The following is a 16,319-nucleotide window of genomic DNA, read 5'->3' as shown; positions in this document are numbered from 1 at the left end:
TATTTCAGACTATGGCCCCAGGGAAGTGTAGTTTGTCAGTGGATGGTTTGCAGCATGAATCTAACCAGGGTATTTTTATTTACAAAAAAAAAATTTAAAAACCTTTGGGCTAGAAATGAAAAACAAATCGCACACATACACTGTGCTTATACATGAAGAATTTCATTTAATCTGATAATACTGTTCATAGAGCCTATGCTGACAAGTTTTATGTTTATGTAAAAGTAATTTCAGTTTTTGCCATTGACAGTAATGGCAAAAACTGCAATTACTTTTGCATCAACTTAATACTATATAAATAAATCTAGAATATAGCTACTTTCCTATTAAGAAGTAAAACTTTTTAAAAAATAGCTTATTTCCTAATTAACTTTAATATTCATTCTGTACTTTTATTTTTCTAAAATATATATTCTATATAAAAATTCTGCATATTTCTATGTACAGTGCATAAGGAAATAAATCCATCATTTCAAAGAGCATTTGTTTGCACAGAAAATACTAATATTAAAGATGTAACAAGAAAATACTACTCTAAATGTATGAAAAAGAAAAACTCATGAACAATATATTTCTCTTAATGTAGAGTTTGCAGAAATACCTATTAACTCCAATTTCCAAATGTCTATTACTTATTGCTTCTGAATAATTATTCATTAGTATTTTTGTATTTTTCCTGTTTTAAAAATAATTTTTACAGACCCTCTGCCTTTTTTTAAAGGCTATTCCATCTTTGGGGAGTTCTTTAGCCAAAGTCTTCCATGGAAAACAATGTTAGGAAGAATTTGTGGAGAAGATACAGAATGTATAGATCTCTGTAATACACCAGTGGTTTTGATATATCCTTATCCTCTCTGGAATGCAGAGTAGGTAGGAAAGAATCTACTCTTTTCATGTCTTTTGATGTAAACACTCTGATTTAATTGCATCTAATTGGACATTTCAGTCAAATTGCAATTTCAATTTCCTGAGTCATCTTCAACATCTATGACATGACATGCAGAAGTAAAAAATTATCAGATTTAGTGCTATTTTATTGTTAGAAATAGCTTTCAGAAGTACATCAGTCAAGTGTGTATTTCTGCTTGAATGTGTGTGTGTTTCCACTCCAAAGGCTTAAGAAGGTTGTTACTTCCAATTAAGTAGAAAAATGTGAAAAGATATGATGTTATAATTAGCTATTAAATTTAACTGCTATAATTAAATAAAATTAATTATGTGATTTTAAAGTAGCAAGTGAAGAAATTAGCCATAAAAGGTCAATTTTACATAACAAAATATAAAATTAGTCTTCTACATTTACTTAAATTTTAGAGCATTAGTGAGGTTATCACCTAAGAAAAATTATTTTTAGAGGCCCACAATTTTTTAAAGTCTTACGAATATTCAATGTATTCAAAAAAATGAGCAAAGTGAATTTTTTAAGGGTAAAAGATCCTAAGTTTTATAAAAATGATTATTTTTGAAATATTTCCTTAAGTATAAAGGTACCAGATAGTCCTGTTTATATTGATACATTTCTTCCATTTCTTCAACAACTATTTAGCATTTAACCAACATTTATTTATTTTTAGATTCATTTATTTTTTGAGACAGAATCTTACTCTCTTGCCCAGGTTGGAGTGCAGTGGCATGATCATGGATCACTGCAGCTTTGACCTTCTGGGCTCAAGTTATCCTCTGACTTCAGCCTCCTGAGTAGCTGGGACTACAGGCACCTGCTGCCACCATGCCTGGCTAATTTTCTTTTCTTTTATATATTTCTTTCTTCTTCTTCTTCTTTTTTTTTTTTTTTTTGGTGGAGATAGAGTCTTGCCATTTTGCCCAGACTGGTCTCAAACCCCTGGGAGCAAGTGATCCTCCTACCTCGGCCTCACAAAGTGCTGTGATTGATTACAAGTGTGAGCCACTGTGCCCAGCCTTTAAGAAACATTTATAGAACACCTCCTTATCTTCTAGTAATGTATCAAGGAGATGTAATATTAAACAGAACAGACATGTTTCCTGAACTCATGGGAATAAAGGCATGATCAAAATAAATAACATAAATGCAAATAGTATAATGCTATAATGGATTGTTTTTAGAATGCTCTATTTGAATATGACAGAGGGTTTTTAGGGTGGTCTGGGAATGCCTTTCTGAGAAAATGAGACACAAGTTGAAAAATGGGGTCAACCAAACATCCAACCATGAAATGTGTGAAGAGAATAACAGAGCCATGCAAAGGGTCAGTTTGGAATTGTTAAATTTGAAAACTATATTGGAAGTCCGAAGCAGAAGTTTGAACTGTCAGGCGAGACCTTTGAGCATGTTGATTGCATTCAAAATGTAAAAATGTATTAGAATAATTATGGCAAGAATAATTAGAAAAATTGTGGCATATACACACATATGTACATACATACATATGCATACATATATTTATGTGTGTAATATACACACACAGATGTACGTACACACATCTGTGTGTGTATATATGTAATGTGTGTAATATACACACATATGTAAAACAAACAACAACTTGTGCCCAAAAAGACCTGAGGGAAAAGAACCCAAAATTTGGACACTTGCATAGTTAAATAAAATTAAGAAGTAGAGAAAGGATGCAGGAAAGGATGTAGAAGTAGAGAAGTAGAGAAGGATGTAGAAGTAGAGAAGGATGCAGGAAAAAAATAAAAGATAATATTTGAATAACAGAGAACATAATTCAATTCAGAGTGTTATAAGGACTCAAAAGATGTATTTTAGTTTGTATGCTTAGTTTTTATGGAATGCAGTTTCACAACACTTTTCTGAAATCTTTGGGACAGATATAATTCAGAAACTTGAATTGGTCAGGTGTCAAGTTAATAATACGCTTTATAAGCTGTGTATCATGAAACACCTTTAATGAGTCTAAAGTAACACTCTAATAAAATGTATTAATATTTCAGCAACAAAATGTAAAGATATTCATTCTAAGTAAGATAAAGAATGTAAGTGACTTTGCATTAATTCAGATCTGGTTTGAAAGCTTTTTTTTTTTCCTTTTTAGATCTTATCAGTTTTTCTGTTTTGGAAGTTGAGGAAGACGTGTTATATTCCTATATTAGAAGATCTATTTATGCTGATTAATATGAGCCAGAAGAGAAAAGGGATGGATGATGCAGAAGACACATAGAGATCTGATAAAGTGAAAATTCTTACAGTGGCAAAAAGATGGGTTTCAGTATGCTTTTGTACATTAGGGAACTCATTTTCCTCTGGGTGGTTAAAAGATTGCCAAGGAGAATTTTAGCATCGACAGTTTTAAAGGAATCAATTTTCAGCAACTCAATTTTCATGTGAACTTTTCTAAAGCGATGTCGCTGAAAAATTTATCTATACTCAGGATACACTTTTTTGTTCCCAAAAGAATGGCATCATTCAAAATCTTAATGTAGTGCATTATCCTGTGGTGGATTACTTCTGGAGTAACAAATAGCAAGGCTATCTAACGATAATTCAATATTTCAGTCTAAAGTTTCTCATTCTTCATGTTCCATCTACATTTCTCTCTCTCTCTCTTTCTCTGTCTGTCTATCTATCTATCTATCTATCTATCTATCTATCTATCTAATCTATCTATCTACCAATCTATCTACCTTTCTATCTATCATCTATCTGATCTATCTCTAGTAAAGTGAAGCCTGGCATTTAGAAAAGTGGCGTATTCATCCATGTTGAGGTGTTGTGAGTTAAGATATAGGTAGGAATAAAATGGAAAACACTTTCCTTAAATATATTTTATATTCTCCTACTATTGATTCCTTTACAACTATTTCAATTTAAGAAGAAAAATGTCAGATAGTGTGATATGAATCATGTTTGAGAAATATTTCCTTGAGAGTTTGACTAGTGCAACAAAAAATATCTGTAAGGGACAATGAATGTTAAAAATGGTTTTATTCCTGTGCTCGAGCAAAACCTACTCTTTTTATGTATTCTCAATTTTCAGCCCTAGAATGTGTTATTAACTTGAAAGAAAAACTCTCCCAAAGATCTAAAAGTTATGCTGATTTTTTAGAAATAACTAAAGGTTTTCAAGACTACCAAAATTTCAAGCTACATGGGACAATTACCAATGTATGGTGTGTGAGGGGAAGACTGTAGTAAGTTTAGATGTCACTGAATATTTTTCACTAAGGGATTTAAAGCATTTTATACTATACAAAACAATAAAATGTCTATTTTATTTTCAGTGAATTTATTTTTCTTGGAAAAATATTTATTAAATTCTACCTCATTAAGAAACAAATATCACAAGCATTTATAGATTAACAGTATATTGATTTGTTTCCTAACTAAATATATCTTTCTCATTCAATACATCTACAGGAAAAGTTTATTATAAGTCTAATTTTATCTATAGAAAAATATGATTTTTTGCCTACTATTCAATTACTTCCAAAATTAGAAACAAATTAAATATATGCTCAAGTAATGATGTGTGCACAAATATATACATATAGAAAAACAATCAATGACTTTAATCCTATCTTTCTTTTCTCATTTTAGGCACACATCATGCAAAATTATTTGTTTTAATAATGTCAAACAATATTTCTCAGGTTTATGTAAAACATTACTAGAATTATTATTTATATTATATCTAAGTGGTTTCAATATTGCTAGATTTTAATTATTCATCATATAATTTTTGCTCTAGAATTCATTTCTTGTTTTTAATAAGCTCCTTTTAAAATGGGCCTACCCTTCCTTAATTGTTTTTTTTTTTTCACTGTCATGCCCACCTTTCAGTGGTGCCTTTGTTTTAGCCTTTTTTGCATACTCACAAACCAATCAATCAGCATACACTTTCCCATTCCGAGCCTATAAAAGCCCTGGACTCAGTCGCACTTTGGGATTGCCTGCCTTTGGGCAACGGGGGCAGCTACCCGACTTTGGGTAAAGTAGGGGTTGCCCTCTCCACAATATAACAAGTATATTAAAATAAATTAATTGGGCTGGGCATGATGGCTGACTCCTGTAATCCCAGCACTTTGGGACGGCATGACAGATGGATAATTTGAGCCCAGGAATTCCAGACCAACCTAAGAAACATGGTAGAACCCCATCTCTACAAAAGAAAAAAAAATTAGCTGATCATGGTGGTGTGTGCGTGCCTGTTGTCCCAGCTACTCAAGAGGCTGAGACGGGGGTATCACTTGAGTCCAGGAGGTTGAGGCTGAAGTGAGCTGTGATTGTACCACTACACTCTTGCCTGGGCAAAACAGCAAGACCATATACCAATCAATCAATCAATCAATCAATCAATTTAGTCATTTTGTGTTAGAAAGCAGCTTTGTTTTAGATGAAGTGTTTGAGGTTTGGTAGCTATGGCCCATATGTTGAATGGGTTAAATAGAAAATTCCAGGTTTGATAAAAGTATATTTATAGCACACAAAATACAATAATATTTAATAAAAAGATTTTAATAGTATATAATGTAGTACAAAATATTTCGGTTGAACTAAAATTTATTGTTGATTGGTTTCAACATGCACCTTTGAGTGACAGAGCTATGTAAAAAACATTTTGAAAGTCTCAGTAAATCAGTTTGGGAAATTTTCCAGAATTCCTAAAAGAGGATAATTCTAATCATTAAAAAAAAAAAAAGTCTTTGAGGTGAAATGGTGTCCAATTATTTGCATTCAAAAAAATTAAGGACCTAATTATGTCATAAGCTGATAGAACATGAGAAATAACATTTGATGATAGATCACCATGTGAATTTTATTGTATAACTAAAAAGTGTATTTAAATTATTGACTAACATTCATATAATACATAGCCCCTTGTTTAATTATGTATATGTGTATAGAAATATGTTTGTGACATGTATAGAGTTTGTTAACATTTATAGATATTGAAAAACAGATCATAAATTGTAACAGTTTTATCAATGGCAGTGTCACATTATTTCAAGGATGCATGAAACATGAACCACTTGGAAAATAATAACCACATTCATCTTTTTACAATGTGAATTTCCAATAAAATATTATGTTTAACAACTGTTTACTAAATTGCAATTTAGCTATGCTGTTTTGATAAATTGTGAGTTAATAAGAATAAATCAATACATCTTTTTACCTCAATCTTGAGGTAAAAAAGACAAATCAATTCACAAATTTTCAACTTATATTCATTCAACTTATATGTTACATGGGAAAATATTTTATATTCACATACCATATTCCTTGTAAATACACATATACAAATTAATTTGTTGAAAAAGTATAGAATTCCATTGAGAAAGTGAAAGTGAAATGTATATATACAAGTTTTATGAGAAAAATGGTGCAAAATATAGGAATGTTAAAGAAAATGCCTCATACAGTTTTCAAATACATAATAATTAGTATAAAATTATATCACTGAAATTTCACTGTACATTTTTAAAAGATATTTAGTTTTAAAAAATATATCAATATTGTTAATATCTCATAAATATCACTTTCTCAACTATTTAAACCCATAGTGAAACACTTAAGATATCAACTTAAAATATCTAAGTGGGATTTTCTAAATTAAGATGTTATGTGAGCAAAAAATACTTTTGCCTATAGTGGGGGACTGATCTTAGAACTGATAGCAGCAGAAGGCAGACAAACCCTAGGCAGATAGGGATGGGCCCCCTGTGAAACTCCACCTACAACCCAAAGACAGTTTAAAGCCTGAACGCCAAGCTACAAATCTCAGATAAATCCACAGACCAGATTGACAACCTCTCTTCCCATTTGGTGCACTTTCCTCTGATTGATCCCCACCTTTCACCAATTTTACCTGCACATACCCTTCTTTGTTTTTTTTTACACTGTCATGCCCACCTCTGAGTGGTGCCTTTGTTTTAGCCTTTTTTGCATACTCACAAACCTATCAATCAGCATGCACTCTCCCATTCTGAGCCTATAAAAGCCCTGGACTCAGCCACACTTTGGGATTGCCTGCCTTCAGGCAACAGGGGCAGCTTCCTGACTTAAGGTGGAGTAGGAGATTGCCCTCTCCATATCCCCTCTCTGCTGAGAGTTGTTGCTCAGTAAAACTCTCTCCCCTGTTCACCCTTCAGCTATCAGCATAACCTCATTCTTCTTGGATGACAGACAAGAACTCAGGACCCATAGAATGTAGGTATGAAAAAGGCAGTAACACTGTAGTCCTCTGTCCTCCATTGGTGCTTGGCAGCCACCCCATGCAATGGGAAGCTGCAGTGAGGCTGGGCCAGCCCCAGAGCTGCAGGCTGGAGTGGGGGCCACAGGACTGAAAGAGCTATTAGCACACTCCCATTAGCCAGGCTGCAAATGGTGGGACTGAAAGGGCTATTAACATGCTGTAACATCTCCTTTGGAGCTTTGGAGTGCTGGCATACCTGTTCAGCCACCATGTGATTCCCTCATCTAGATGCTGGTGCACAGGGCGGAGGCAGGTCGGGGCATGCCTGGCCCAGCTGCTGGCTGAGTGCAGATTCTGTGGTAAGCATGGGATCTGGGCAGAAGTGTAAGCCAGGTGCAGTGCTTTGGGCCAACTGGGCATGGTGCTTCCTGTGGCAAGCCCAGGGCTGACTGAGGCCCAGGCAGGGTCATTGCCAGCCACTGAAGTCTCTGGCTGGCGAAGGGGCACCAAAAAATCTTGTGTCAGAAGTAAAGATAATTCTTCCACTGTATCTGTAGAGAGGAAGTTTAGATGTAGACTCCAGTAAGATCGATGATTTAATTTGGTTAAAATGAGAGGGCTCCTTTTCTGAGGGCATTAATTTCTCAAATAAGTATTATATATTATATGCAAATTCACTCCAGATTCCCCATGAACATATTATATAAAGCAGGGGAGAAGCATAGAATAGGTTTTAATTTCATAGAGAAATATTATTGTCTTGACATTTGTCTTTGTGTCTTATATTCCCAAATCTTAATCTCATAGTGGAAAGAATAGTAAATAAAGCTGATGATAATACAGAAGTGATGGTGGTCATAAAGTGAGCTGAATCAATGTATCCAAAACACTAGAACTCTGTGTCTGTGTCGTTTTTACAAACCATTTATTACAACTCTACCTCAATGTTCTCACTTGTCATACAAAGTATGCTCTCAAAACAATGTGACTCCAAATATGTGAGTGTTTGGAGTAGTAGTAATTGGCTTAATTCTAGAGATGTTGAAATATTATAGGCTAGAAAATAGGAAGGCTATTCATAACTTAGAAAGAAACAATGTGCCACAAGATTAAGATCTGAAAAAGGAATACACACACACATGCATGCACATACACACGTGTGTATATAACAACATGTGAGACTTTTTCTGAGGAAGTGTTTCGAATCAGAATAGAAGAAATGGAGTCATCAGAAGACATATGATATTTGTAGCAAACTTAAAAGTAGCATTGCATTGCTTAGGGATAAATGCATTTATAACAAGCCTACAAAGCATACCAAAGTTACACAAGAACACCAATTGAGAGTAATAGTTACTTCTTAGAGGGAAGGGAAGATGAGATACAGATGAGTAACTCAGGCACAGCTTGAGTGATTACAAGGATGTATTATATTTTAAGGTAGATAGTGGGAAAATAAATATATGTTTTATTAATAAATGTAAATTAATGTGCTGTCTTTATCAATATGTCTATGTCATGTACTTCATCTTTTAAAAAACTGAAAACATAGTTTTCAGTCCATAGTTCATCCTTTGTACCATAGTCCATGCTTCACTACAACTTTTCAGTTTATGAACTCTCACGCAGATTGAGCTAATATTTCTCCAAAGGCACTGTTTACACTATTTGATCTAAACAAATCTACTGATAAAAAGCAATGACTTGCTTAATTGTCCAAAGCCAGGTAACTGGTTTGAACACATCTCTTTTTGAGCAGATTTGGTGTTATGGTCTTCTACCGACATGGTATGATTACTAAGTCAGGAACGAGGTGCAGACGTGTAAAAATTTAGTTATAGTGGGTGAAATTCTGGTTAGTGGCCCAGGAAGATTAATCCACCTTTTCCCCATTAAATAATTACCAGAAGATAAGATAGACATTATAGAGAATACAGACTATGATACAATGCTTTATTTTCAAGTAAATAATAAAGCTATTTTTGGTATTATTGGCACTTCTGTATTTTGGAATGAAAAGAGCCTATTTATTTAAAAGTGAAGAGTATATGCTCTCAGCCATTTTTCCAGAATCACTTTCTCTTTATTCTCTTTTTGTCTTTCTTTTTTTGTGCTATACTTCCTAAATGTAAATATCATAATGGGTTCTGCTGTATACACTTAAATAACAAAGAAAATTATTTTCCATCTAAATGAAGCAGGCTCTTTGGGACTCTAATTCTTCCCAGATTCCTCTTTGTACATTAAGTTGACTTTTCAAGTAAAATATACCACATGTACCAAAGCTCTGACGTCTACTGCTACATGTGTTTCTTCAAAGACAGCACCTCACTTGTTGATCTCTTTGCCATTCTGATGCTGTCCCAGGATCCTTTCTATTGGTCTTTTTGAACATCCTTTGAAGTGCCACATGTAACTGAAGAAAGTCCTGGGATGCATCAGCACATTACTAATTCCAGCTGCAAGCAAGCTTCCTGCTGGAGCTTAGGAACTGGAAAGAGATCATAATATGCCATCCATCTTGTTAAAATAAGGGCAAAAAGAAAGTTGTTAAAGGAAAAAATTTAAGGGAGATGACTCTCAAAATAACCTGTATGCAACTAATCTAAAGGGATCTGTCACAATCAGTTGAATTTAGTATTAGCTACTGTATTCTTATAGCAAATATCAAACAAAATAATGACTCTGAATCACTGGTTTTAATGCACATCAGGATGTTTGCTCCTTTTGTTCTTTACAAATCTCATCTCACCATCACCTTTACTTCACTTTTGGATATAGGATAAATATATATTTTTAGAACGCATTCTTGAAAATAACAAAAACAGCAAACCTCTGTAGGTTGCATATTAAAAAAAAATAGCCAAACATTAGCACCGTTAGTACCTGCTGATGTTTGTGAAGTTAGTAGGCAGGCTGGTCCTTAGTGTGATGAAAGAAACATTTTCAAAATCAAGCTAACAAAATGATCAACATACTGTGTTCATGTTCTACTTGGCCAAAGCCCAGATAATTCTGTTGAATTATATAGTGTTTGATTTGGAGTGCCTGCTTCTCTTCTTACTGTCTTTATTCTAGTTATACAAAAGTGCTGTCACAAAGTTTAATTTCTTTTAATGCAGTAAGTATGTAAATTGATCATGTGAATTCATATTCAAGTTCCTCCTACCACTCTTAAAAGGATTTTATTGTGGGGAAGGTGAATGCAGATTTATTGTCTTTGTCAAGCTCATTTTCCTTCAAAATAAAATTGCTCACTTTTATTTCTTAGTTTTTCTTTGTCATTTTAGATGTTCACAGAAATCTGGACCACTTCAAATCCCCATCTTAGAACTCTTCATCATAGCCCATTGTTGGAGGAACTAGAAACATCTTGTGAGCCATGCTCTGGTTTTGATTACAAAGTTTTGGACCTCTTTAATCTTAGTACATAGCTATCCTAAAGACATATTACCTTCTCTATCAGTCTGAGGATTCCTATTTTCTAACTCCTGTATTACAGGTTCCATTTTGGGGTGTTGTGTATTCTGTTTCATGCCTGTCTTGGAAAATAAATCTTCCAAGAGTTTGCTCTGAAAGGATCTGTTTGAATTAATTTGTGTGTGATCATGTATAAAAAGCCTTTATTCCACTGGGCGCGGTGGCTCACACCTGTAATCCCAGCACTTTGGGAGGCCGAGACGGGTGGATCACGAGGTCAGGAGATCGAGACCATCTTGGCTAACACAGTGAAACCCTGTCTCTACTAAAAATACAAAAAATTAGATGGGTGTGGTGGTGCGCGCCTGTAGTTCCCGCTACTCGGGAGGCTGAGGCAGGGGAATGGCGTGAACCCGGGAGGTGGAGCTTGCAGTGAGCTGAGATCGCGCCACTGCCCTCCAGCCTGGGCAACAGAGCGAGACTCTGTCTCAAAAAAAAAGTAATAATAATAATAAAAAGCCTTTATTCTACACTCTCAGCTGATTAATTGATAGTACAGATGAGTTTAAAATAATAAATTGTAAAGAATTTCACTTCAGAAATTTTTATTTGCTTAAAAAATACATAACATAATACGTATCATCTTGACTTTTTTGAAGTGCACAGTTCAGTAATGTTAAGTATATGCAAATTACTGTGAAATAGTTGTCTGCAATTATTTTAGCTTGAAAATCTGAAACTTTATACCCGTTAAGAATAAACAACTCATCTTTCCCCTCTTTCCCCAGTCACTGGTAAGCACCATTCTACTTTCTGTCTCTATATATTTGACTACTTTAGATATCTCATATATGTGGAATTGTACAGTATTTATCTTTTTGTGTTCTACTTACTTCACTTAGCATAATGTTTTTAAGGTTCATCCATGTTGTAGCATCTCACAAGATTTCCTTTGTTTCTAAGGCTTGATAATATTCTGTTACATGCATATACCACATTTTGTTTATCCAGTCATCTGCTAATCAACATTTGAGTTACTTCTATCACTTGGCTATTGTTACTAGTGTTATCATTAATATGGGTGTGCAAATATACTTTGAGACCATGCTTTCAAAAATGTTTTGGATATATGCCCAGAAGTAAGATTGCTGTTTCATATAGTAGTTCTATTTTAAATATTTTGAGAAAACTCCATGTTGTTTTTCACAGCAGTTGCACCATTTTGCAATTCACCAAGAGTACACAAGTGTACTAATTGCTCCACATTCTTGCCGATTTTTTTCTGGATTTTTCTTTTGTTTTGTTTGGTTTTTGTTTTTTATTCTTATAGTAGATATCCTAATGGATATGAAGTGCTATCTCATTGTGATTTTGGTTTGCATTCCTCTGATGAGTAATGATGTTGAACATTTTCTCATATACTTGTTGATCATTTGCATATTATCTTCAGAGAAATGCCTATTCAAGTTTTTGAACCACCATTTTTTAAATTGGGTTACTTGAGTCTTTTATTGTTGAGATGTTGTTTCTAACAAATTCTGAATATTAGTCCCTGAGCAGATATATTATTTGTAAATACTTTCTCTCATTCCATAGATTATCTTTTATTCTGTTAATTCTATCATTTGATACACAAAAGTTTAATGGAGGTCCATTTGTCTATTTTTATTTTTATTGCCGGAGGTTTTGGTGCTATATATATTCACTGCCAAGTCTAATGTTAAGGAGCTTTTCCCCTAGAAATTTCATAGTTTTAATTTTTATGTTTAGGGTTTTAATTTATTTTGAATTAAATTTGGTATATGATGTGAAGGAAGAGTCCAACTTCATTCTTTTACATGTAGTATACAGTTTTTCCAACACTAATTCATCAATAGATTTTCCTTTCCCTATTGAATGGTCTTGGTATCTTTGTCAAATCATTTTACCACATACGAGTAGCTTTATTTCTGGGCTTTCTGTTTTATTCTATTGGTCTATTTGTCTTTATGTCAGTACAATACCTTTTTGATTACTGCAGCTTCATAATATGTTTTGAAATCAGGAAATATGAGCACTCCAGCTTAGTTACTCTTTTTCTTGTTTTGGCTAATTTGGGCCCCACAAAATTCCAAATAAATATTTGGTTAACTTTTTCCTTTTTTGCAAAAAATTGCTGTTGAGAAATTGATTGAGGTTGTATTGACTCTGTAGATTGCTTTGGATACTATGGACATCTTAACTATGTTAGTGTTCCAAGCCATGAACCTGGTATATCTTTCTATATATTTGTGGCTTCTGTAATTTCTTTTAAAAATATTTTGTAGATTTCAGCACACAAGTCTTTCACCTTCTTGGTTAGATTTACATGTAAGTATTTTTTTTCTCTGTTGCTCTATTACAATAAAATAGTTTTGTTAATTTCCTTTACTGATTGATGACTATTCATGTACAGAAATGCAACTGATTTCTTCATGTTGATTTTGCACCTGGCAATGTTGCTGTATTTGTTTATTAGTTCTAACAGGTTTTGTTGTTGTCGTTGTTGTTGTTGTCATTATTGTTGGGGAGGAGTGTTTCTTTCTAATTTCCTACTTATAAGATTGTGCTATCTATGAACAGAGATAATTTTACTTCTTCCTTTCCAGTTTAGATGTCTTTTATTTCTTTTTCTTGTCTAATTGTTATGGTTAGAATTTCCCATAGTATGGTGAATAGAAGTGGCGGAGTGGGAATTCTTGCCTTGTACCTAATGTTGGAGGAAAATCCTTCAGTCTTTCCCATTGAGTATGACGGTTGTGGGTTTTTCATAAATGGCCTTCATCCTGTTGAAATTGTTTCCAGTTATCTGTAGTTGGTTTTTATCATGAAAGGGTGTTGAATTTTGTCAAATGCTTTTTCTGCATTAATTGACATTATGATGCGGATTCTTTTTCTTCATTATGTTTGTGTGTATTACAGTGATTGATTTTTGTATCTTGAAACACCTGTGCATTCCAGGAATAAATCCCACTTGGTCATGGTGTATAATCCATGTAATATGCTGCTAAATTGGGCTTGCTAACATTTTATTGAGGATTTTTGCATCAGTATTTCTAAGGAATATTGGTCTCTAGATTTCTTTGCTTGCAGCATCTTGGGCTTTGGTATCAAGGTAATTCTGACCTTATATAACAAACTTGCTAGTGTTTCTGTTTAAACTTGTTAAAGAGTTTGAGGAGAATTGGTGTTAATTCTTCCTTAAATGTTTGATAAAATTATTCAGTAGAGCCATCTGGTCCTAGCTTTTCTTTGTAGGGAGATCTTTGGCCATTGATTCAATCTCCTTACACATTATTAGTCTGTCCAGATTTTTTATTTCTTCTTGATGCAGTCTTGGTAGGTTGACTGTTTCTAGGAATATACTCATTTCTTTTAGGCTATTCAAATTATTGGCATACAATTGTTTATGACATTCTCCGATTGTCCATTTTATTTTGGTGGCATCTGTTATATTATCTCCTCTTTCATTTCTGAGGTTTTTTTTTTTTTTGAGTCTTCTCTCTTTTTTTCTTAGTTAATATAATTAAGGGTTTGTCAATTATGTTTATATTTTTAAAAACTCTTAGTGTCATTGAATTTTTAATTGTTTTTCTACTCTCAATTTTGTTAATCTCTGTTCTTTATTGTTCCCTTCCTTCTGATTTTTGGAAGTTTTGGGTTCAGTTTATTCCTCTTTTTCTAGTTTCTTAAGGAGTAAATTTAGGTTATTGATATTAGCTCCCTTTTTGTATACATTCACAGTTATAAACTTTCCTCTTAGTACTATTTTTACTTCATTCCATAATTTGCTATGTTGCATTTTCCTTCTCATTTGGCTAATTCACCAAGAAGATAGAATAATCGATGTATTTTACAACTTTCCTTGTGTCTTTTTCCTTGACTTTTTGGTCATTGAAGAGTATGTTGTTTAATTTCTACGTATTTGTGGATTTTCCCATTTTCTTTATAATATTGACTTTTAGTTTTATTTTATAGTTATTGTCAAAAATACTTTATATGATTTCAATTTCTTTTGAATTTGTGAAGACTTGTGTTGTAGCCTAACATGTGCTCTCTCCTGAAGATTGTTCCATAGGCACTTGAGAAGAATGTCTATTTTGGTGGTGTTTAGAGGAGTGTTGTGTGTATCTGTGTTACATCCAATTTGACTGTAGTATTGTTCAATTTCCCTATTTTTTTCTTTTTCTAATTTTTATTTATTTATTTATTTATTTATTTATTTTTTTTTTTGAGATAGAGTCTTGCTCTGTCGCCTAGGTTGGAGTGCAGTGGTGCGATCTTGGTTCACCGCAACTTCTGCCACCTGGGTTCAAGTGATTCTCCTGCATCAGCCTCCCGAGTAGCTGGGATTACAGGCATGCACCACCACGCCCGCCTAATTTTTTTGTGTTTTTAGTAAAGACGGGGTTTCAGTATCTTGGACAGGCCAGTCTTGAACTCCTGACCTCGTGATCCACCCATCTTGCCCTCCCAAATTGCTGGGATTACAGGTGTGAGCCACCGCACCCAGCCAAATTCCCCTATTTTTTTCTTTATCTTCTGTTTTATTTATCTGCTATTGAAAGTGTAGTATTAAAATCTCCTACCATTAGTATGCTGCTGTGTATCTCCAACTTCAGTTCTGTCAAAATAGTTTCATATGTTTAGGTCTAGTATATAAATATTCATAATTGTTGCATCTTCTTGGTGAAGTAACTCTTTTATTGTTATATAATATCATTTTGTCTGTTATAAAAATGTTTGATTTAAATCTATTTTTGTCTGATGTAGCTTCTCCTGGTATCTTTTGGCTATCATACAAATAGATCGATTTTTCCCAACTTTTTGCTTTCAAGCTATGTGTGTCCTTAGATCTAAAATGAGTCTCTTGTAGACAACATATACTTGGATACTGTTTTTGTTTTCATTTTTTGAAATCCACTCAGCCAATCCACAATTTTTGTTTGGGAAGCCTAATCCACTTAAATTTAAATTAATTACTATTAGAGAAAGACTTACCCTTGCCATTTTGTAAATTGTTTTCTGTAGATCTTATAAGCTTTTTGTATCTCCTTTTATCTCTTACCGTCATCCTTTATGATTCATTGATTTTTTTGTAGCGCCGTACTTTGATATCCTTTTCATGTCCTCTTCTGTATGTTCAAAGACATTTTCTTTGTGGTTACCATAGCAATTACATAAAATATCTTAAAGTTATACCAATATATTTTAAACTGAAAACAACATTCAAAAACTCTTCCCTTTAACAGCTGTACCCCCACATATTATGTTATTCATGTCAAAATTACATCTTTATATCTTATGTACTCACTTTCATACATTTCTCATTTTTAATGCTTTGCTATTTATATTATATACACCAAAATTACTGTAGTATAGGTTACTGTATTTCTCCATTTGTTTAATTTTCCCAGAGAATCTTATATTTCATATGACTTTATGTTGCTCTCCACTGCACTTTCATTGCAACTTGAAAGACTCCCTTTAACATTTCTTTTAGAGAAGGTAACATGATAACAAACACTTTTGGCTTGATTATGTAGAAAAGTCTAAGTTTTTTTTTTTTTTTTGAGACCGAGTCTCGCTTTGTTGCCCAGGCTGGAGTGCAGCGGCCTGATCACAGCTCACTGCAAGCTCCGCCTCCCAGGTTCATGCCATTCTCCTGCCTCAGCCTCCCGAGTAGCTGGGATTACAGGTGCCCACCACCACACCCAGCTAATTTTTTTCTTTTTTATACTTTTA

General features: G+C 33.6%; 2 long non-coding RNA genes across 2 annotated transcripts in view, besides 2 other annotated features; both read left to right on the top strand.

Annotated features, from left to right (window-relative positions):
* LOC105370291 (uncharacterized) overlaps positions 1 to 4,225 on the top strand; it is a 93,686-nt gene extending 89,461 nt beyond the window's left edge. The window contains exons 4-5 of the long non-coding RNA XR_002957485.2: positions 722 to 870; positions 3,036 to 4,225. This is a non-coding gene — a long non-coding RNA (uncharacterized LOC105370291). The remainder of the gene's footprint in view (positions 1 to 721; positions 871 to 3,035) is intronic.
* Positions 1 to 16,319, top strand: part of LINC00375 (long intergenic non-protein coding RNA 375) — an 82,971-nt gene that overhangs the window by 32,037 nt on the left and 34,615 nt on the right. The gene's annotated exons all lie outside the window — the stretch shown is intronic.
* Positions 6,929 to 7,429: an enhancer, noted in NCBI's record as "H3K4me1 hESC enhancer chr13:85682727-85683227 (GRCh37/hg19 assembly coordinates)". NCBI's record gives its function as "activates a minimal SCP1, AML or CMV promoter by ChIP-STARR-seq in naive and primed H9 embryonic stem cells {active_cell/tissue: H9 hESC(naive and primed)}" and the evidence as "EXISTENCE:reporter gene assay evidence [ECO:0000049][PMID:30033119]".
* Positions 7,430 to 7,930: an enhancer, noted in NCBI's record as "H3K4me1 hESC enhancer chr13:85682226-85682726 (GRCh37/hg19 assembly coordinates)". NCBI's record gives its function as "activates a minimal SCP1, AML or CMV promoter by ChIP-STARR-seq in naive and primed H9 embryonic stem cells {active_cell/tissue: H9 hESC(naive and primed)}" and the evidence as "EXISTENCE:reporter gene assay evidence [ECO:0000049][PMID:30033119]".

The sequence above is a fragment of the Homo sapiens genome, chromosome 13, assembly GCF_000001405.40.
Source record: "Homo sapiens chromosome 13, GRCh38.p14 Primary Assembly".
Classification (NCBI taxonomy): Eukaryota; Metazoa; Chordata; class Mammalia; order Primates; family Hominidae; genus Homo; species Homo sapiens.
This window is presented reverse-complemented; position numbering and strand designations above follow the sequence as displayed.